This window comes from Homo sapiens, chromosome 7, assembly GCF_000001405.40.
Source record: "Homo sapiens chromosome 7, GRCh38.p14 Primary Assembly".
NCBI lineage: Eukaryota > Metazoa > Chordata > Mammalia > Primates > Hominidae > Homo > Homo sapiens.
In genome coordinates, this window is record NC_000007.14 from 66,215,408 (window position 1) to 66,238,845 (window position 23,438).

Sequence of the window (23,438 nt, forward strand, 5' to 3'; positions counted from 1 at the left end):
TCTGTCGCCCAGGCTGGAGTGAAGTGGCGCGATCTCGGCTCGCTGCAAGCTCTGCCTCCTGGGTTCACACGATTCTCCTTCCTCAGCCTCCTGAGTAGCTGGGACTACAGGTGCCTGCCACCACGCCCAGCTAATTTTTTGTATTTTTAGTAGAGATGGGGTTTCACCATGTTAGCCAGGATGGTCTCGATCTCCTGACCTCGTGATCCGCCCGCGTCGGCCTCCAAAGTGCTGGGATTACAGGCGTGAGCCACCGCGCCCAGCCTCCTAATATATATTTTTAAGAAGAATTAGTGTCAATTTTTTTTTTTAACTTTTGATAGAATTTACTAGTGAAGCCATCTTGTCCTGGTTTTTCTTTTTCTTTCTTTTTTTTTTTTTTTGAGACGGAGTCTCGCTTTGTCGCCCAGGCTGGAGTGCAGTGGCACGATCTCGGCTCACTGCAAGCTCCACCTCCTGGGTTCACGCCATTCTCCTGCCTCGGCCTCCCAAGTAGCTGGGACTACAGGCGCCCGCCACGACGGCTGGCTAATTTTTGTATTTTTAGTAGAGACGGGGTTTCACCGTGTTAGCCAGGATGGTCTGGATCTCCTGACCTTGTGATCCGCCCGCCTTGGCCTCCCAAAGTGCTGGGATGTGAGCCACCGCGCCCGGCCAATGTCCTGGTTTTTCTTTGTGGAAAATTTTAAATTACTCTTTCACTTGCTTTGTTATAGATTTATTCAGATTTTTAATATTTTCTTGAGTCAGTATTAGTAGTTTGTATCTTTTAGAAATTTGTCCATTTTATCTAGATTACTTTGTTGGATTATGCTTGTTTATGATCACTTTTATTTTTGTAGGGTTGGTAGTTACGTCTCCTTTTCATTACTGATTTTCATAATTTGAGTCTTCTCTCTTTTGTTATTGGTCGGTCTAGCTAAAAGATTGTTAATTTTGCTGATCTTTTCAAAGAACCAGTTTTTGGTTTTGTTGATTTTCTCTGTTCTATTTTCTGTTTTATTTATTTCACTGTAGTCTTTATTATTTCCTTCTTTCTGATGGTTTTGGTCTTGTTTGCTCTTTTTCTTTTTTTTTTTTGAGACGGAGTCTTGCTCTGTCGCCCAGGCTGGAGTGTAGTGGCGCGATCTTGGCTCACTGCAGCCTCCACCTCCCAGGTTCAAGTGATTCTCCTGCCTCGGCCTCCCGAGTAGCTGGGATTACAGGTGCCTGCCACCACGCCCAGCTAATTTTTGTATTTTTAGTAGAGACGAAGTTTCACCATGTTAGCCAGGATGGTCTCAATCTCCTGACCTCGTGATCTGCGTGCCTCAGCCTCCCAAAGTGCTGGGATTACAGGCGTAAGCCATTGCACCCAGCCCTGTTTGCTCTTTTTCTAGTTTCTTAAGGGAGAAAGTTAGGTTGTTGATTTGCAATCTTTTTTAATACAGGTGTTTACGCTATAAATTCCCTCATAGCACTGCTTTTGCTGCATCCCATGAGTTTTGTACTTTCAACTCAAAGTATTTTGTAATATTCCTAATGTTTTCTTTTTTTGCTCATTGGTTATTTAGGAGGGTGGTATTTCATTTCCACATATTTGTAAATTTCCCAAACTTTTTTTTTGGTTATTGTTTTTTAATTTTATTTCATTTTGGTCAGAGAATATACTTTATATGTTTTCAGTGGTTTAAATATATTGGGACTTGTTCGAAAGCCTAACACATGGTCTATCCTAGAGAAAGTTCCATGTCATTTGAGAACAATATATATTTTGCCATTGTTGCTTGGAGGCTTGTATAGATATTTGTTAGATCTAGTTGATTTGTAGTATTGTAGTCTTCTATTTCCTTGCTGATATTTTGTCTAGTTGCTTTATCCATTAGTGAAAGTGGGATAGTGAGGCCTCCAACTGTTATTGTTAAATTGTCTATTTCTCACTTGAATTCTGTCAGTTTTTGCTTCATGTATTTTAGGGCTCTGTTGTTATTTGCATATATGTTTATAATTGTATTTTTTTGATGAATTGTTGGATTTTCCCTCTTATAAAATGTCTTTTTTGTCTCTTTTGTGGTAACAATTTTTGTCTTAAAGTGCATTGTATCTGACATTGTATAGTTTGCTGTTTGCATGATATATCTTTTCCCTTTGTTTTGCTTTCAGCCTGTTTGGTCTTTGAATCTAACACATCATTTATTTATTTATTTGTTTGTTTGTTTGTTTGTTTGAGATGGAGTCTTGCTCTGTCGCCCAGGCTGGAGTGCACTGGTGTGATCTCGGCTCTGCCTCCTGGGTTCAAGCAATTCTCCTGTCTCAGCCTCCCGAGTAGCTGGGACTACAGGCGTGTGCCACCATGCCTGGCTAATTTTTTGTATTTTTAGTAGAGGTGGGGTTTCACCATGTTGACCAGGATGGTTTTGATCTCCTGACTTTGTGATCCGCCCGCCTCGGCCTCGCAGAGTGCTGGGATTACAGGTGTGAGCCACCGCGCCTGGCCTTTTTCTTTTTTTTGAGATGGAGTCTGACCCTGTCGCCCAGGCTGGAGTGAAGTGGTACGATCTTGGCTCACTGTAACCTCTGCCTCCCGGATTCAAGCAATTCTCCTGCCTCAGCCTCCTGAGTAGCTGCGATTACAGGCACCCACCACCATGCCCAGATAATTTTTGTGTTTTATTAGAGACAAGGTGTCACCATGTTGGTCAGGCTGGTCTCAAACCCCTGACCTCAAGTGATCTGCCCGCCTTGGCCTCCCAACATGCTGGGATTATAGGTGTGAGCCACTGTACCCGGTCCCCCTTAAGATTCATTCTAATGTCATTTTCTTCGTGTAGCCTTTTCTGAGCCTATGGATGTGATCCTTCCTTGAAATGCCTGTATGTCTTTGTTCATGCCTTTTGTATGCTCTTTTTATTATTTTATCATGGCATATATGGTTAGTTTCTTTTCTTCTCTCCTTGCTAAGCTACTAGTTCTTTGAAGGCAGATGATAAATCATACTCATTTATATGCTCATTTAATGTATGTAACATTTAATTGAAATGTATGAGTAAGAATTTTCTACCCTGTAAAAATTAAATAACAGTACATGGTTGTACATGTGATATGTTTTTATAATTATTGGAAAGGTATAACAAGACAATGAAAGTTCAGTTTTGCCCACAGAAATTGCTATTATAGGGCTGGGCGCGGTGGCTCACGCCTGTAATCCCAGCACTTTGGGAGGCTGAGGCGGGGAGATCACAAGGTCAGGATATCAAGACCATTCTGGCTAACACAGGTGAAACCCCATCTCTACTAAAAATGCAAAAACGTTAGCTGGGTGTGGTGGCGGGCGCCTGTAGTCCCAGCTACTTGGGTGTCTGAGGCAGGAGAACGGCATGAACTTGGGAGGTGGAGCTTGCAGTGAGCTGCGATTGCACCACTGCACTCCAGCCTGGGTGACAGAGCAAGACTCCATCTCAAAAAAAAAAAAAATTGTTATTATAGTGTTTTATTTTATTTTATTTTATTTTGAGGCAGAGTCTGGCTCTGTCATCTAGGCTGGAGTGCAGTGGCGCAATCTCAGCTCACAGCAACCTCTGCCTCCCCGGTTTAAGCAATTCTTTTGCCTCAGCCTCTTGAGTAGCTGGGACTTCAGGCATGTACCACCACGCCTGGCTAATTTTTTTTTTTTTTTTTTTTTGGTATTTTTAGTAGAGACAGGGTTTTGCCATGTTGGCCATGCTGGTCTCGAACTCCTGACCTCAAGTGATCCACCCGCTTCAGCCTCCCAGAGTGCTGGGATTACAGGCATGAGCCACTGCACCTGGCCATAGCAGTGGTTTCTGATCAAATATTTGATGCCCAGCTTTTCATAGAGAACATCACAAAATTCCAGCTCCAAGTAATTTTGGGCTAGAGGCATAATTTCCCACAACAAACATGGGAAACCTACTTTCATATGAGAGTGACTAGGCTAAAGCAAAACTAAACTGGAAAATATACAGGAAAGGTAGAGCTATTTGCCAGGCTACTTTCTAGCCTCCGTATATATCTGTTATTTCTTGAGTCCAAATCTAGTTCTCCATTCTTAATCTCTCCCAGATGAAATCTTCAGGGACTTGCAGAAAGTGTGCAAATATGCATCCTGCTCATTTTTATAAGTAAAGCATAATGGCTACATGGATTTATAGTTTTCTTCTGTCATTCTAATTAGATCTGAGGTGGTCATGATAGGACAATTCTGGAGAAAATACAGTTCAAAAGCTGAGTATATTTTTAAAAACTATTTGCTAATGAAAGCCTTATAAATAATAGCAGATGGTCTTAAATTTACTTCATTTGCACCATAATTGTTGCATACCTGGCTTTTTGTTCATGCCAAGCCTAATAATGACTGGGACGTACCATGGTATACAGTCAGACCTGGGTTCCAGCTTGGCAAATAATTTGCCATGTAGCAGTATATTAAGGAAGTTTTTTATTCCTTCTGGGCCTCAGTTTCCTTATGTGTAAAATTCTAGAACAGAAATGTTCCTTTACCTTATTTTTCGTTGCAGCAATGTAAGGGATTGCAAAAAAGATTTTGATTCATTCATCAACAAGAGTGCAAAGTGATGATAGAGGCAGATGAAATAGACTGATCAATAAAGGGAGTGGATTAGAAGAGCAAGGGTCAAAGGAAAAAAAAAGGAGGTGAACTCTGTATTTTTAGTTTTTTTTAAATGTAGTCAAACCATATTATAACACTGGAACCAGAAGAAAAAAGTAATGTTCTAATCCTAGGAAAGCATTAGCTGTCTGGGCTTTTATTGAGAAAGTTTTAGCAGGATCAGTCAATGCACATTTATCAAGTGCTCAATATGCTTGTAGTATATTGTTATATACTATGGAGAAACTGAAAAAGATAAGATATAGTCAATATGTCCCAAGAACTCACAACTAATTATACTTATAGAATCTAATTACAGCCATAATTACCTTATTGGCAATCTAAAATTCATTAATTCATTCAAAAGGCTCTAGTTTCAAGGAGCTCACAGCCTACTGGAAAAACAGACAAAGTAACCATGTAGTGTGAGATGTGATATAGGGTAAATACAAGGGCACTAGGAAGGACACCTGTGTCGTATGTGGCAGAGAGCTTTCAGGAAAGCTGCGCAGGAAAGATGGCATTAAAGTGGAATGTTGAAGGATGAGTGAGAGTCATCAGGCAGAGAGACACGCAAAAGCTGCAGTGCATGCGGAGGCTCAAACAAGGAAGGGATGCTTCAGGTGGATGACAGTGGCACTGGGTGAGTGTGTGGGGGTGGTGGGTGGGTGGGTGGTGAAACAGGCTGGGGAGCAGACAAGGGCTGGGTCAGGAACGGCCTTGTACTAACGTTATGGTGAGGACTTAATTTTTTTGAAAAAAGTAGAAAGTTGTGGAAGAGGTTTAAGCAAGGGAGCATCATAAGTATATTTGCATTTTAGAAAGGTCGTTCCTGGCTGGGAGCGGTGGCTAACACCTGTAATCCCAATGTTTTGGGAGGCCAAGGTGGGTAGATCACCTGAGGTCAGGAGTTTGAGACCAGACTGGACAACATGGTGAAACCCCGTCTCTACTAAAAATGCAAAAATTAGCTGGGTGTGGTGGCACATGCCTGTAATCCCAGCTACTCGGGAGGCTGAGGCAGGAGAATTGCTTGAACCTGGGAGGTGGAGGTTGCAGTGAGCCGAGATTGTGCCACTGCACTCCAGCCTGGGCAACAGAGTGAGACTCCGTCTTAAAAAAAAAAAAAAGCTAATTCCTGAGACAAGTTAGTGATTCAACTGATGGAAAGAAGTCAGAACTCAGACCATTTAGGAGGCTGTGGAGTTCATATGAGAAAGGAAGAGGGTGAGGATTAAACTGATTTTTTTTCCGTAATTATCAGCAGGGAAAAAAATTGAGGGAAATCAAGTAAAGGGAGATGAAGGAGGAAGAATTGACGGGACTTTACCAGTTACTCATGGAGAGGTTAAGGGAGAAACTACATAAAGGTTCCCTGGTTTTAAGCTTGAGAATCAGAGAGAAAGTGGTTCATTGACCAATGGAGGAAAGGGAAGAGTAAAAGAGATTTACTAGGGAAGGTAGGTTCCATTTAGTGTTCGTTGAGTGTAACATGCCGGTGAACATCCAGATAGAATTGTCCCTTAGCCTTTAAATGATCAAGTCTGAGATTGGGATAGAAGTCTTGGTTGCAAATCGATTTGAATCATTACAGTGTAAGTGAGAGCTGGCTGCAGATGAAGCAGGGTGAGTGTAGGAGTGTGAGTAAGGGAATGCAGTGCTGTAAATTAATCTTTGGTCACTGCTTTGTGATGTTGCTTTTGAAACATAAGTTTGAATACAGAGTTGACTTTTTAAAATCTGGGCTTTTCTTTTTAGTGTCATTGATTACTGTTAGTATTCTAACAGTTAATATCTGTAGGACTCTTTCTTTCCAAAGACTTGGAAAACTGTTTTTCCTCTCTGCTATGAATTTTGTAATTATTTTATTGATTGCAGAATATCTTTTTGAGGCAATGATTGAAATTGCAAAGTTTTTTTCATCAGTTCCAGATTACTTTCTTTCTGTTTATTCATAGTTCCTTGTTTCATTTTCGATGTTTATTTGTTGACTATTTGCTTTATATCAGATGACTTTATAGGTATTTTAAGGGGATTTAAGAAAGATATCACTAGTTACCTATTCGTCTATAAATTCCTTGCTTAGGCCAAGTGTGGTGGCTCACGCCTGTAATCCCAGCACTTTGGGAGGCCGAGGCAGGTGGATCACAAGGTCAGGAGATTGAGACCATCCTGGCTAACACGGTGAAACCCTGTTATTAAAAAATACAAAAAAAGAATTAGCTGGGCGTGGTGGCAGGCACCTGTAGTCCCAGCTACTGGGGAGGCTGAGGCAGGAGAATGGCATGAACCCCGGGAGGTGGAGCTTGCAGTGAGCTGAGATCGTGCCACTGCACTCCAGCCTGGGCCACAGAGTGAGACTCCGTTTCAAAAAAAAAAAAAAAATTTCCTTGCTTTGTATTTTATCTGGTGTTCATGTATCTGCTGCATATTAAATAATGAATGGGTTTTAATTTGTGATTTAAAGGAACTTAAATAGTCTAGTGAGGTAAACTAACCACAATACAGTGGTATGTGTGCTTTGAGGTTACAGAAGAGGGAACAATTGATTTTTGTGCAGGAAAGACGAAAAAAGGCAGTCAGGGACAGGTTGACTGAGGAGATATGTGTAAAAGAGAGAAAGCGGCATGGTACTGGAGGCAGCACCATGAGCAGAGGCCAGGCGTGGAGGGGTCTGATGTCAATGGGGAATGATTCTCAGGGGGTCAGGCTGCATGGGAGGAGTGCTGGGAGGTGAAGGTAAAGGTGGAAGATGAGCAGGAGACAGTGAAGGAAGGGTGCCCTGGGCCCCTGTTCTTTAAAAGCCCCTTCACATGTTTCCATGTGATTGCCCCAGCAGTGCTGTGAGAGAGAACTTGCAGGTGTCCCTTTTTCCTTTGCATTTTGTCTCCAGTCTGTCTTCTTCCTTTTGTAATTTCTACTCTAATTACTTGTGAAGAAGGGTTTGATTATCATTATCTCTATTTTGTGGATGACAGAACTGAAGCTTAATGATTTATCTAGTGCCATGTGACTAAGAAAAAACTGATTCCAGACTAGAGCCCAGGTCTTCTGACTCTAATACACCAGGCTTCTTTTACATTAATTCAATGCCATCTTCTCTTCTACTTTTTCTATTCAGTTACTTTTCATTCTAAAGGTTATGAGGGGCTGGGTGTGGTGGTTCATGTTTGTAATTCCAGCACTTTGGGAGGCTGATGTGGGAGGATCACTTGAGGCCAGGGGTTCAAGACCAGCCTGGGCATCATAAGGAGGCCTTGTCTCTACAAAAAAGAAAGAAAGAAAGAAACAAAAAATTAGCCAGGTATGGTTTGCATGCCCCTGCAGTCCCAGCTACTTAGGAGGCTGAGGTGGGAGGATCACTTGAGCCCAGGAGTTGGAGGCTGCAGTGAGCTATATGCCATTGCACTCCAGCCTGGGTGACAGAGTAAGACCCTGTCTCAAAAAAAAAAAAAAAAAAAAAAAAGTTACAAGTTTGGTAGAAAAATGGCATAAACTTGAGTTACCGAATAAGAATATATAATTTGAAGAAATTTGCTTTCTTTGTTCCTCATCATGGGTGGTCTAAACAGATTATAAACATGAACTTGATGAATCTAAAAGATAAATAGTTTAGCCAACAATGATTTCCTGATTTATAGGTCTGAGAAGTTTGGAACTTGGTAACTTCAATTTTTTATTTTGTTTTATTTCATTTTAACTCTTTATTATGAAAAATTTCAAACATATCCAAAATAGAGACTGCTATATTGAGCCCTCAAGTGCCCATCACTCAGCTTCAACAGTGAGCTCATAGCAGTCTAATTTCATATATACCCTCCACACATTCCTGCTCTCAGATATTTCTGAAGCAAAGCCGAGACATCATTTCATTTAACTTGAACCTTTACAGATGTTTTGCTTTAGTTTAACTTGTGCTCCTGTCTCCATTTGTGTTCTAGGCATTAGGTCCAGTTCTTGGTATGGGTTTTTTTGAAGTTCACTGCTCCTTTAAGTAGTGAGTATCAGCTGACTTTCAAAGATTGTCAGCTGTGTATACCATATTCTTCTTGCCATTTGCTACTCGTTAGTGGGTCTGGTGCCAGCCCCTAACGTGCAGCTAGGAAAAGGTGTTCCCATGTTGATGCTCTGACCATGAGCTGACATAAGAATGGCTCTTGCAACAATGGTTTCATTTAGGTCAGATTTGAAGTCTGTACTGCATGGCAAAGCTGTCATTCAAAATCAGTCTCTGTGCATTTATTCATTGGCAAGTTCAAGCATGTGATAAAATTATTTTTCCTTTTGCTAACAGGCTAGAAGTAAATGGAGAAACCAGATACAGACTGGACTTTAGTCAGCAGGCACAGTGGTATTGGCTGTTGCTGTTTGCCACGTTGGTTGGCATCATGAATGGGTATGAGAGGCAAGGAACTAGTGATTAACAAAGGAAAGACAGCTTTTAGGGGCGTTGTTACATTCCTGTAATTTATCTTTTGCTAGGACATGTCCCCAGCATCTCTTTGGACCTAGAATATAGCCATGTTCCTGATTATAACAGCAGGGTGTGGTGAATGTGCTCTTGAGTGTGTGTACCTGGGCCTGTGTGTGTGCACTGGGTGTTGGGCATGGCCTTGCTGGCTGCTGACCTCTGTATCTCTACTTTTGTTGACTGATCCTGTTTTTGGTTAGCAATCTTAGTTTATAAAATTTGCAAATATGTAAGTATAGAAATGTAATGTCAGCACTCTCTTCTCTAAGGCATTATTTCTAGGAGTCTATTTCATTTGGCCTGCTGGGAAAGAGCAGTTCTATTAATAGTGATTCCTCAGATACGTTTATTGCAGTGTTTCAGTGCTTTTTCTCTCCCCTGGAGATAAAACTGAGCCTGAACATTCTGGTATTCTTTTTTTTTTTTTTTTTTTTTTTTTTTTTTTGTGAGATGGAGTTTCACTCTTGTTGCCCAGGCTGGAGTGCAATGGCACGATCTTGGCTCACCACAACCTCCACCTCCTGGGTTCAAGCGATTCTCAAGCCTCAGCCTCCTGAGTAGCAGGGATTACAGGCACGCGCCACCACGCCTGGCTAATTTTGTATTTTTAGTAGAGACGGGGTTTCGCCATGTTGGCCAGGCTGGTCTTGAACTCCTGACCTCAGGTGATCCGCCTGCCTTGGCCTCCCAAAGTGCTGGGATTACAGGCATGAACCACCGCACCCGGCCCATTCTGGTATTCTTTTTAGATCAACCTTAGCTCTATAAATGTCCTAGTTGAGAAAATATTGATCTGCTGTCTGAAAATACAGCAAAGTGGAGTTTAAAAGTAATGGAAAGAGGGCCTGGCACAGTGGCTCACGCCTGTAATCCCAGCGCTTTGGGAGGCTGAGGCGGGCGGATCACCTGAGATCAGGAGTTCAAGGCCAGCCTGGGCAACATGGTGAAACCTCATCTCTACTAAAAATACAAAAATCAGCTGGGCGTGGCGGCACATGCCTGTAATCCCAGCTACCGGGGAGGCTGAGGCAGGAGAATCACTTGAACCCAGAAAGCAGAGGTTGCAGTGAGCCGAGATTGTGCCATTGCACTCCAGCCTGGGTGACAGAGACTCAGTCTCAATAAATAAATAAATAAAAAGAAATAAAGTAACGGATAGAGGCCATGTTTGTGTGTGTGCATGCACACGCACACGTGTGTAAACACACATGCACACAGTGTTTTAGTATATAAGGGTAATGATCAGGCCAGCTTTTACTGTACTTCTTAAATCAAAGGACTACCTTTTTTTAGAATTTGAGAAGAATTAGTATGAAGGTGTGAGTGGAGCCTCAAACACTATAGTCTCTTATCTAGAAAAAGGTACTTCCCAGTTTGGTTAGGTACCTGTTTTGTTTTTGTTTTTGTTTTTGTTTTTGAGACGGAGTCTTGCTGTTTCACCCAGGTTGGAGTGCAGTGGTGTGATCTCGGCTCACTGCAAGCTCTGCCTCCCAGGTTCACGCCATTCTCCTGTCTCAGCCTCCCGAGTAGCTGGGAATACAGGCGCCTGTCACCACACCTGGCTAATTTTTTGTATTTTTTAGTAGAGACGGGGTTTCACCATGTTAGCCAGGATGGTCTCGATCTCCTGACCTCGTGATCCGCCCGCCTCAGCCTCCCAAAGTGCTGGGATTACAGACGTGAGCCACTGTGCCCCGCCAGGTACCTGTTTTTTTGTAGGTTCAGTATACACTGTGAGCTGGTGCTCTGCTAAGTATGCTCTGGTAGAGGATGGGACATAGGCAAATCTCTGGGCTTCAGGCATTCAACATCTTTTGGACTAAGTAAAATATATATGATTTGATGAATAGTGACCTTTGAAGAATAGGTAAGATTTAGAGAAGTCACGAGGAGAATGTGCTACTTGGGCCTCAGTTTGTACATCTATAAAATGAGAGCATTATACGTAGATGATCTAAAGACCCCTCTTAGGACTGATTCTGCAAGTTAAGAAACATCCAAAGAGAGAAAATTAGGCTTCACAAGCGTAATGAAAACTAATGAGAATGTTTTTGGAGAAGCCAAAATCCCTTTGTTTTCCCTTTTTGGTATCCCTTACAAGGCCTTTGATCATTTACTTGTATTCAGATATCTTGAAGGGCTATGGAACATACTCTCCCCCTATTAATTAACGTACATTTAGCGAATGCCTTTTAATGTTTAATTTAAAATACAGCAAAAATTAAAACTTGAAGAGAATCACTCAAATTTGTGTCCGTTGACAACTAACAAGTATGCTTGAATATATGGCAAGGTATTCTTTGCCCTAAATTATCCCTTAGTAAAGAGGGAGTTGCCTTCATTTGAGTCCTTATGAAATCTCTGAAGGTGAGGGGTGCCTTCTCAATTACTTTGAACAACAAACTACTGTTTTGGGATGATAAGCTATTATCATCAATTAGTGCTACTTTTTGGATGCCTATAGGGATTTCCTGACAGAAGCAGTGGAAAAACAGGCGGAGAAATTTAACACAGTTTGGTGTTGGATGCCTTAAAATAAGCTTTTTTTTTTTTTTTTTTTTTTTGAGATGGAGTCTCACTCTGTCGCCCAAGCTGGAGTGCAGTGGTGCAGTCTCAACTCACTGCAACCTCCGCCTCCTGGGTTCAAGCAATTTTCTGCCTCAGCCTCCCGAGTAGCTGGGATTACAGGCACCCGCCATGATGCCTGGCTAATTTTTGTATTTTTAGTAGAGACGGGGTTTCACCATCTTGGTCAGGCTGGTCTTGAACTCCTGACCTTGTGATCTACCCGTCTCGGCCTCCCAAAGTGCTGGGATTACAGGCGTGAGCCACTGCGCCCAGCCCAAAATAAGCCTTTAAGTGACCATTTGGAAAACAAATACCAGGCTTTCAGCAGAGGAATGGCACAATCTTTTTGTTTAATTAATTAATTAATTAATTTAGTTAGTTTTTAGAGCTGGGGTGTGGCTCTGTTGCCCAGACTGGAGGGCAGTGGTGTGATCATGGCTCACTGCAGCGTCGACCTCCTGGATATCAGCAATCCTCCCACCTCAGCTTCCCCAGTCCTTTTGTTTTATAAAAACAAGGACCCCTCTGGATGCCGAGTTGAGAATAGACTCTAATGGGCAGCAGTAGAAGTAAGGATACCTGTCAGTAATCCTGGTGCAAGATGCTGGCAGTGGTAGTGGATGTGTTGAGAAGTAGTCTGATTCTGACTGTATTTTGAAAGTAGAGCCAACAGATTTTTTTTTTTTTCTCAGATTTGGATGTTGGGTATGAGAAAGAGATGAATCAAATATTTATTAAATCCTTTATAATCAAGCACACTTCACCCTCCCTTACCTAACAATTCCTCTTCTAAAATTTAGTTTAAGAAAACAATCGTGTGTAAAGATGTTTGTAAATACAAGAATAGTTATCATAGTAATATATCACAGTAATGAAGATTTAAAAACATGCAAATAATAATGGAGAATCAGCCAAATAAATGCTGGTAAATCCTTTCAGTAGAGTACTATGCAGGCATTAAAATGATCTACAAGTATGTTTTTGGACAAGGAAATGCATTACAAGTATATTTCCAGGTTTAGTTTTTGTATGTATTTTGCTGGGAATTTGAGGTTTCTTTTTTTGTTTTTCAAAATTAGTTTTCAATACTGGGAGTATTTTAATGGGAAGTCATTAGAGGGTATCAGAAACTATTGGTTGCTTCTTTAGTAATGTAGAAGGCTTTCATGTTAACTTTTGATTGGTGAATATTTTGTATCTCTACTTTCAAAGGTAGTTACCTTGTTTTCCTACAATCAAATTGTTGTTAAGGAAATTTTATTTTCTTGCTCTCTTTCAGCAAATCAACTAAGGTAATTTTTGAAAGAAGTTGAATCATTTATTACCTGTTGCATTCTGACATGTATCAGAAGTTGGCAAGTTAAGTGTAATTTAAAATAGTACAAAATTTTATCAAAAAGCTTTGCCATTTCAGAGTAGTTATTTATCTTCCCTCATGTATCATATATGTAACCCCCTAAATAAATGGAATATACTAGAAGAATCATTCCTGTATAACTGTATAAATGGTTGAAATGAAATCAACCATATTGGATCCATAAGCTTATTGGATCCATAAGAACACTTCTCTTTGGTTCACTGAGTGAGTTTGGTTTGCTTTGTTCAGATTTTAAATCAATTTTTATTTAAGTGTTCATAAGATGGAAAATACAAGACTTTTTCTAGGATCATTCCTCTGCTATAAATTATTTGCTTCATATATTTCTATCACACCGAATCTATTATCTGTTCAATCACAAACATTAATTGGAAAATTGAGGATCAGAAACTCCTGTTCTTGGTTCTCTCCTGCCATCTGTCTTCCTCCTTCCCCCAGTGTTTCCCCTCAAATCTCTTGTGATTAAAAAAAAATTTTTGAAATTACTACATAATAAAATAGAATTTTTTATGCACAGTTCTGTGACTTTTGATACATATATTGAGTCATGTAACAGTTACAATACAGAATAGTTCCATCATCCCAGTTATATCCCTTTATAGTCACACAGTCCCCTGGCATCCACTGATCTATAGTTTTGTCTTTTTGAGGATGTTTTATGAAAGGAATAATTTTGAGACTGGCTTTTTTTTTTTCTGAGACAGTCTCGCTCTGTCACCCAGGCTGGAGTGCAGTGGCACGATCTCGACTCACTGCTAGCTCCGCTTCCTAGATTCACACCATTGTCCTGCCTCAGCCTCCGGAGTAGCTGGGACTACAGGCACCCGCCACCACGCCCAGCTAATTTTTTGTATTTTTAGTAGAGACGGGGTTTCACTGTGTTAGCCAGGATGGTCTCGATCTCCTGACCTCGTGATCTGCCTGCCTCGGCCTCCCAAAATGCTGGGATTACAGGCATGAGCCACCGCACCCGGCTGAGACTGGCTTCTTTCACACAGCATAATGCCTTTGAGATTCATCCAAGTTGTTGCACATATCAAGAGTTTGTTCCTTTTTATTGCTGAGTACTATTCCAGCAGTGAATATGTCACACTTTATTCAGATTAACTCATTGGATAATTTCCAGATTTTGGTGATTATGACTAGAGCTGCTATAGACATTTATGTACAGGTTTTGGGTGAATAGGGTTTCATTTACTAGGATAAATGCTCAGGAATGCCATTGTTGTATGGTAAGTATATATTTACATTTATTGGACTCTGCGAAACTCTTTTTCACAGTAGATATATCTATCATTGGGCATTCCCAGTAGCAAAATGTGGGAGTTCCAGTTGCTTTTTATCCTTGTCAGCACGGTTCAGTATATTTTAGCCATTCTGTTAAGTGTTTAGTGATTTTTTAAAACAGTATTATTGAGATAAAATCCACATACCATAAAATTCCCTACTATCTAGGTTTAGAGTATTTTATCACTTCAAAAAGAAACCCCATACTCATTACTAGTCACTTCTTGGGAGGCCGAGGCGGGCGGATCATGAGGTCAAGAGATCAAGAGCATCCTGGCCAATATTGTAAAACCCCGTCTCTACTAAAAAATACAAAAATTAGCTGGACATGGTGGCACGCACCTGTAGTCCCAGCTGCTCGGGAGGCTGAGGCAGGAGAATCACTTGAACCTGGGAGGCGAAAGTTGCAGTGAGCTGAGATTACGCCCCTGCACTCCAGCCTGGGTGACAGTGCAAGACTCTGTCTCAAACAAACAAACAAAAACTAGTCACTCTTCATCTTCCCCCACCCTCCAGCTCCAGGCAACTATTTTACTGTCTACAGATTTGCCTATTCTGGACATTTCATGTAAATGGAATCATACAGTATGTAGTCTTTCATAAGTGACTACTATTGTGTCTGGAATTGGTGGGTTCTTGGTCTCACTGACTTCAAGAATGAAGCCGCGGACCCTCGCGGTGAGCGTTAAGCTCTTAAGGTGGTGCGTCTGGAGTTTGTTCCTTCTGACATTCGGCTGTGTTCGGAGTTTCTTCCTTCTGGTGGGTTCATGGTCTCGCTGGCTCAGGAGTGAAGCTGCAGACCTTCACGGTGAGTGTTACAGCTCTTAAGGCAGCGCGTCTGGAGCTGTTCGTTCCTCCCGGTGGGCTTGTGGTCTCGCTGGCTTCAGGAGTGAAGCTGCAGATCTTCGTGGTGAGTGTTACAGCTCATAAAAGCAGTGTGGACCCAAAGAGTGAGCAGTAGCAAGATTTATTGCAAAGAGCGAAAGAACAAAGCTTCCACAGTGTGGAAGGGGACCCGAGCGGGTTGCCACTGCTGGCTTGGGCAGCCTGCTTTTTATTCTTTTATCCGGCCCCACCCACATCCTGCTGATTGGTAGAGCCGAGTGGTCTGTTTTGACAGGGCGCTGATTGGTGTGTTTACAATCCCTGAGCTAGATACAAAGGTTCTCCACGTCCTCATCAGATTAGTTAGATACAGTGTATCGACACAAAGGTTCTCCAAGGCCCCACCAGAGCAGCTAGATACAGAGTGTCGATTGGTGCATTCACAAACCCTGAGCTAGACACAGGGTGCTGATTGGTGCGTTTACAAACCTTGAGCTAGATACAGAGTGCCGATTGGTGTATTTACAATCCCTGAGCTAGACATAAAGGTTCTCCAAGGCCCCACCAGAGCAGCTAGATACAGAGTGTCGATTGGTGCACTCACAAACCCTGAGCTAACCACAGGGTGCTGATTGGTGTGTTTACAAACCTTGAGCTAGATACAGAGTGCTGATTGGTGTATTTACAATCCCTGAGCTAGACATAAAGGTTCTCCACGTCCCCACCAGACTCAGGAGCCCAGCTGGCTTCGCCCAGTGGATCCCGCACCGGGGCTGCATGTGGAGCTGCCTGCCAGTCCCATGCTGTGCGCTCGCACTCCGCAGGCCTTGGGTGGTTGATGGGACTGGGTGCCGTGGAGCAGGGGGTGGCACTTGTCAGGGAAGCTGGGGTGGCACAGGAGCCTATGGAGGGGGTGGGAGGCTCAGGCATGGCGGGCTGCAGGTCCTGAGCCCTGCCCCGTGGGAAGGCAGCTAAGTCCCAGCTAAGGCTGGCACTGCTGGGGGACCCAGTACACCCTCTGCAGCCGCTAGCCTGGGTGCTAAGCCCCTCATTGCCCGGGGCCGGCAGGGCCAGCCAGCTGCTCCGAGTGCGGGGCCCGCCAAGTCCACGCCCACCCGGAACTCCAGCTAGCCCGCAAGCACCACGGGCAGCACTGGTTCCCGCTCGCGCCTCTCCCTCCACACCACCCTGCAAGCTGAGGGAGCCGGCTCCAGCCTTGGCCAGCCCAGAAAGGGGCTCCCACAGTGCAGCGGTGGGCTGAAGGGCTCCTCAGGTGCCACCAAAGTGGGAGCCCAGGCAGAGGAGGCGCCCAGAGCGAGCAAGGGCTGTGAGGACTGCCAGCACGCTGTCATCTCTCACTATCACTTAACATCTTTAAGTGATAGAAGTGGATGCAAGGTTTATCCATGTTGTAGCATGTATTTGTTCTTTTTTATGGCTGAATAATACTGTATTTTGTGGATATACCACATTTTGTTTATCCATTTATCAATTCATGGACATTTTGGTTGTTTCTACTTTTTGGCTATGAATAACAATGCTGTGAACATAGGTGTACAAATTCTTATGTGGAGATGTGTTTCAGTCCTCTTGGGTAGAACTGCTTGATCACATGGTAACTATTTTTTAATTTATTTTGTTTCTTATTAAAAAAAATTTTTTTTTTTTTTTTTTTTTGAGACAGGGACTCACTCTGTTGCCCAGGCTGGAGCTATGGTGTGATTATGGCTCACTGTAGCCTCAACCTCCCAGGCTCAAGTAATCCTCCCACCTCAGCCTCCTGAGTAGCTGGGACCACAGGCACGTGCCACCATGCCTGATTAATTTTTTGTTTGTTTGTTTTTTGAGACAGAGTCTCGCTCTGTCTCCCAGGCTGGAGTGCAGTGGCGTGATCTCCACTCACTGCAAGCTCTGCCTCCCGGGTTCACGCCATTCTCCTGCCTCAGCCTCCCGAGTAGCTGGGACTACAGGCGCCCACCACCATGCCCGGCTAATTTTTTTATGGGTTTCACCATGTTAGCCAGGATGGTCTCGATCTCCTGACCTTGTGATCCACCTGCCTCGGCCTCCCAAAGTGCTGGGATTACAGGCATGAGCCACCGCGCCCGGCCCATGCCTGAATAGTTTTTAAATTATTTTTTGTAGAGATGAGGTCTCATACTGTGTTGCCCATGCTTGTCTCACACTCCTGGGCTCATCTCCCACATCAGCAGTAACTCTCTGTTTAGCCTTCTGAGGAAAACTGTCAATGTGTTTTCTAAAGTGGTTGCACCATTTTACAATCCCTTCAGCACTGTATGAGGGTTCTAATTTAACCACATTTTATCAACATTTGTTACTGCCCATGTTGTCATCTAGTGGGTGTCAAGTGGTATCTCATTGTGATTTTGATTTGTATTTTCCTAGACTGATGATGTGGAGCATCTTTTCTTGTGCTTATTGACCATTTGCATATATTCTTTGGGGAAATATGTATTCTGATTCTTTGCCCATTTTAAAATTGTTATTTATCTTTTTATTGTTGAATTGTAATAGTTTTTTACGTGTTCTGGACACAAATCCCTTCTCAGGCATATAATTTGCAGATATTTTCTCCCATTTTTTGGTTTGTCTTTCACTTTCTTGGTGGTGTCCTTTGAAGCACAAAAATTTTTAATTTTGATGGAGTCCAGTTTATCCATTTTTGGTGGTGATGTTTGTACTTTTGGTGTTGCGTCTAGGAAACCACTACTTAACCCAAGGCCATGAAGATTTACACCTTTGTTTTGTTCTAAGAGTTTTATGGTTTTAGCTTATACATTTAGGTCTGATTCATTTTGAATTGATTTTTGAGAACAGCATATGGTAGGTATCCAACTTCATTCTTTTGCATGTGGATATCCAGTTGCCTGAGCACCATTTGCTGAGAAGACTCTTATTTCCTCACTGAATTGTCTTGGCACCCTTGTCAAAAATCACTTTCCCATAAACATCGTATTTCCAGATAATTCTGTTCTATTCATTTATGTGTCCATTTTTATGCCAGTACTACATTGTCTTACGATTGTAGCATTTAGTTTTGAAATTGGGAAGTGGGGGTCCTCCAACTTTGTTCTTTTTTAAGATTGTTTTGGCTAGAATGAGATTTTATAAACATAAATTGGAGAAAGTAACTCCATGCATGAAATATTCAAATCAGTGATACCTGACTACGTCTATCATAAAATTCATATCTTTAACTTGACCTACAAGATTTGTGATCTGACCTCTGCCCAGTTTGACCTTTCACCCACTTTCCCTCTTGGTCACTGCCTTGCAGCTTCATTGGCCTACTTCCTGCTTCTTTTTTTTTCTGAGACAAGAGTGTCTCTCTCTCACCCAGCATGGAGTGCAGTGGCGTGATCTTGGTTCACTGCAACCTTCGTCTTCCAGATTCAAACAATTCTCCTGCCTCAGCCTCCGGAGTAGCTGGGATTACAGGCATGTGCCACCACGGCTAATTTTTGTATTTTTAGTACAGACAGGGTTTCACCATTTTGGCCAGGCTGGTCTCAAACTCTTGACCTCAGGTGATCCACCCGCCTTGACCTCCCAAAGTGCTGGGATCACAAACGTGAGCCACCATGCCTGGCCTACTTCCTGCTTCTTGAATGCGTTAAAACGCCTTCCCGTTACATGGCTTTTGCATATCTACGTACTTTTTCTTGGAATGCTCTTCCCTTCACTAATTCCTACTCATTCTTCAGGTCTTAGCCTAAATGCCATTTTAAAAGAAAGACTGTTCTTTTTATTTTTAAAATATTGCTTTATCTTTTCCTAGTTAGAAAAGCAACATACAAGTTCTTTAAAGCAAGCTTGAAAAATAAAAGCATGGCTACACACACACACACACACACACACACACACAGACACACACACACACACGGAAACCATAGGACAAGCATTTAATGTTTCAGTGCCATCAAATGTCAGCTTGTTATTGGTCGTTTGGGTTTTTCATTTTTTCTGTTTGGAAGCCTGCAGAATTTTTCGTGCTTGGAATTGCCAAGATGTGTCCAGATTGGGTCTGTTACCATTTGTTTTGCTCTATGGATGTATAGATCCTTACATCTATAGTGTCTGTTTACATTCAGGGAAGTTTTGTTTGTTTGTTTGTTTGTTTGTTTTTTGGAGACGGAGTCTCGTTCTGTCTCCCAGGTCGGAGTGCGGTGGCAGGATCTCAGCTCACTGCAAGCTCCACCTCCCGGGTTCATGCCATTCTCCTGCCTCAGCCTCCCCAGTAGCTGGGACTACAGGTGCCCGCCAACACGCCTGGCTAATTTTTTGTATTTTTAGTAGAGATGGGGTTTCACCGTAGCAAGGATGGTCTCGATCTCCTGACCTCATGATCTGCCCACCTTGGCCTCCCAAAGTGCTAGGATTACAGGTGTGAGCCTCCGCGCCCAGCCGGAAGCTTTCTTTTTTTGAATCTGTAATATGGTTTTACTTTCTTTAACCAAAATGTTATTGTATAATAGGATCGACTCTTCTCTGTTTTCTACATTATTCTCTTTTCTTGCCATTGTTTCCTTTTCTTTCTACCTGGCTCCTTTTGAATTGAACATTAGGATATCATCTTAAGTGTGTCTTTTAACATAATGGATGCAATGTTCTGCATAGATTTTTTTTTTTTTTTTTTTGAGACAGAGTCTTGCTCTGTCGCCCAGACTGGAGTACAATGGCGCGAACTCGGCTCGCTGCAAGCTCCGCCTCCCGGGTTCACGTCACGCCATTCTCCTGCATAGACATTTTAATGCTATATTGCCACCAATTATCTTAATACTTTTTTCTTTGCAGTTTTTTCTTATTAAGCTGATATTTTAATCTCAACCTAGTCTTTGTGATTCTTTGTTGAAGCTTTATATAGTGCCTGGCACAAAACTATGTGCTCAAACATATATTGAATGAATGATTAAAAGAGTATACACATGAATAAATAAGAACCAGTTCTTAGTTGGTGTATTCTACTGAGACTGTCAAAGTACTTCTCTAGTAATGAATTCCTTTTTTAAAAAAAAGCTGTATTGAAGTGTAATTTATATATATAGTATGTGAACTTCCAAAATCTGAGACAGGTATCAGTTAGTTTAGAAAGTTTATTTTGCCAAGGTTGGGGAACACGCCTGTGAAGCAGCCTCAGGAAGTCCTGATGACGTGTGCCCAAGGTAGTTGAGATACAGCTTGGTTTTATACATTTTAGGGAGACATGAGACATCAATCAATATATGTAAGAAGTACATTGGTTCCGTTTGGAAAGGTGGGACAGCTCGAAGCAAAGGCAGGAAGACTTGAAGCGGGGAAGGGGCTTCCAGGTCACTGATAGGTGAGAGACGCACAGTTGCATTCTTTTGAGTTTCTGATTAGCCTTTCCAAAGGAGGCAATCATATATGCATCTATCTGTCTGACTGAGACTGATACCTGTCTCAGACTTTGGAGGTTCACATACTATATATATAAATTACACTTCAATACAGCTTTTTTTTAAAAAAAGGAATTCATTACTAGAAAAATACTTTGACAGACAGTGAGCAGAGGGATGACTTTGAATAGAATGGGAGGCAGGTTTGCCATAAGCAGTTCCCAGCTTGACTTTTCCCTTTAGCTTAGTGATTTGGGGGCCCCAAGATTTATTTTCCTTTCACAAGTATGAGGGTGTAATTCAATAATTTTTTAGTAGATTTTATAGGGTTGTACAACTATGACAACAGTTCAGTTTTAGAACAGTTCAGTCACCGCAAAAAGTTCCTTCATGTAAGCTTGCACTTAAATCCCTGCTTTTTCACTCTGTCTCTATAAATTTGCCTTGTCATTTAAATGTGTGCTTATGTTGCTCTCATATATATATGTATATACACACACACACTTTTAGGATTGTTTATATCTAAACAACTTTAATGAAGTATATATAGTGTAAGGTATATGTACTTTATTTAAGTATATATACTTAATGTATATATACTGCCTTTGCTTTGAGCTGTCCCACCTTTCCAAACGGAACCAATGTACTTCTTACATATATTGATTGATGTCTCATGTCTCCCTAAAATGTATAAAACCAAGCTGTATCTCAACCACCTTGGGCACAGGTCATCAGGACTTCCTGAGGCTGTTTCACAGGCGTGTTCCCCAACCTTGGCAAAATAGACTTTCTAAATTAACTGATACCTGTCTTAGGTTTTGGAAGTTCACATACTATATATAAATTACACTTCAATAAAGCTTTTTTAAAAACAAGTGTGCACACACTTTATAATTGTTTTCATTTTTAAGCATGGCTTTCTAGGAGTTGCCTTCCTGTCTGCATAGCTTAGTGATCAGTGGTCACCCAGTGCTTGGACAGTGGTTGCCTCAGACATCTTGAGCCAGTAAGGCATTTGTCCTCTGCCAGTAGATCTCTGTGGGTAGGGAGCACATACAAAGTTTAGGCTTTTTCAGATCTGCTGTCTTTTACTTTCCACCCAGTCCTTTCATGTCTCCTCTGTGCCTGCATGCCACTTCTGGGTTGGCCAACAAATGTGCCCCACCCAGACTGCAACCTCCACCTTCTAGAGCTGTTCACCCTCTCACTCGCCTCCCACCTGCTCCATCACTTACTCTGACAGTGCAGGTGGTCATGTGCGTTCTTCCCCACTCCAAACTCAGTGAACTGTCAGTCCTAATGGTTTGCCTTGCCCTGCTCTGCCTTGCAGAACCTCTGTACCTACTGAATGAGTAGATGAGGTGGGAGTAACCTTACACAGACCCTCATTGTTCTTACCCACCTTTTAGCAGTTTTTCAAGCATAAATGCTTCTCAGGTTGTTGTATTCTTCTGGTGGATTTCCAGAGCACTGAAAGGGTTGTTTTGCCCATTTCACCCAGCTTTATCATTGGTTTTTGGGGAGAGGAATTAACTACCTTCTCACTAGGCTGTAGCTGGAAGTCTTCCCTCTCAGAATGTATTTTTTAGTGTAGTTAGTCATTTCCCCAGGTATATTTACTGTATCCTTAGGGTTCTCCAGAAAAACAAAACCAAACCCCTGTGTTAGGGTTTTACAGAAAAACAACCAGTAGTCAGGGTAAGGCAAACCATTAGGACTGGCTGCTTTGCTAGTGGGTTGGAAGGGATCTCACTGAATTTAGAGTGGTGGGTAACGCGCATGCCCACTCTGTATATGGGGAGGGGTCGGGGGTAGGGAGAGAAAGAGACTGATTTTAAGGAATTCACTTATGCGATTGTGGGGCTTTCAAGTCTGAAATTCACAGGGCAGTTGGGCAGAGATGAGTTGATGTTGCAGTCTTGTTCCCGGACCAAACTGAGGGTCGGGTTGCTGTTTCTTGTGGCCCAATAACGAGATGCAGATGAACTGGGGAGGAAGAGAGTTTTTATTTCTGTAACTGTTACAGGGAGGCCTGGAAATTATCACCAGACCGACTTAAAATTACAAAGTTTTTCTGAGCTTATGTACCTTCTAACCTATATGTCTGCATGTAAGTGTGCATTCATCTGAAGATGTAAGTGATTAACTTCTTTTAATCTGTAACTAAAGTCTGAGTCCTGAAGCCCTTCTTCTGGAGCCTCAGTAAGTTTACTTCATCTAAGTGGGTCTAGGTTCTGGGGTGATTACCCTTATCTTATCTCCTGCTAAATCACGGAGATTTGGAGAGTTCCTTCAGACCTCCAATAAACTTGTTTGTGGAGGCCTGGGGAGTTTCTTCAGACCCCTAATAAAACTTGTTTAATCCTAAATGGGTCCTGTTAAGAATTCCTTCGTTATTTTGTCATGCTTTAAGGCCCAGGAAAGGCCTGGGCAAAACTCTTGGTGCGCTTTTGTTACATTCCAGCCTTTGTATAACAGCACTGGCTTTTTTTTTTTTTTTTTTAGCTTTTAATATTTAACTTAACCACTCAGTCAGTACTGAAACAGTTGTTATGGAGGCCTGCGTTAGTGAGACCTGGCCTGCCACAGTCTTAACTCCAGATTCTGCTCGGTAGCAGGCTGGACACACAGGCAGGGTTTCTATGTTGTAGTTCTTTTCCAGGAAACCTCAGTCTTTGCTCTTAAAGCCTTTACCTGTTAGATGAGGCCTTCCTGTATTATGGAGGGTAATCCACTTTACTAGAAATCTGTTGATTTAAGTGTTAATCACATCTAAAATATACCTTCACAGACATATCTAGATTGGTGTTTGATCAAACAACTGGACACCAAAGTCTAGCCAAGTTGACACATAAAATTAACTGTCACACTTGCCTTCTGAGGATTCAGGGTAAATTATTTTGGTGTACATGTAGTCTGGTT

At 42.2% G+C, this 23,438-nt stretch overlaps 1 protein-coding gene across 13 annotated transcripts in view, besides 1 other annotated feature; it reads left to right on the forward strand.

Moving 5' to 3' along the window:
- TPST1 (tyrosylprotein sulfotransferase 1) overlaps positions 1-23,438 on the forward strand; it is a 161,654-nt gene that overhangs the window by 16,618 nt on the left and 121,598 nt on the right. The gene's annotated exons all lie outside the window — the stretch shown is intronic.
- Positions 19,741-19,941: a silencer, noted in NCBI's record as "peak6545 fragment used in MPRA reporter construct". NCBI's record gives its function as "represses an SCP1 promoter by STARR-seq MPRAs in K562 erythroleukemia cells {active_cell/tissue: K562}" and the evidence as "EXISTENCE:reporter gene assay evidence [ECO:0000049][PMID:32103011]".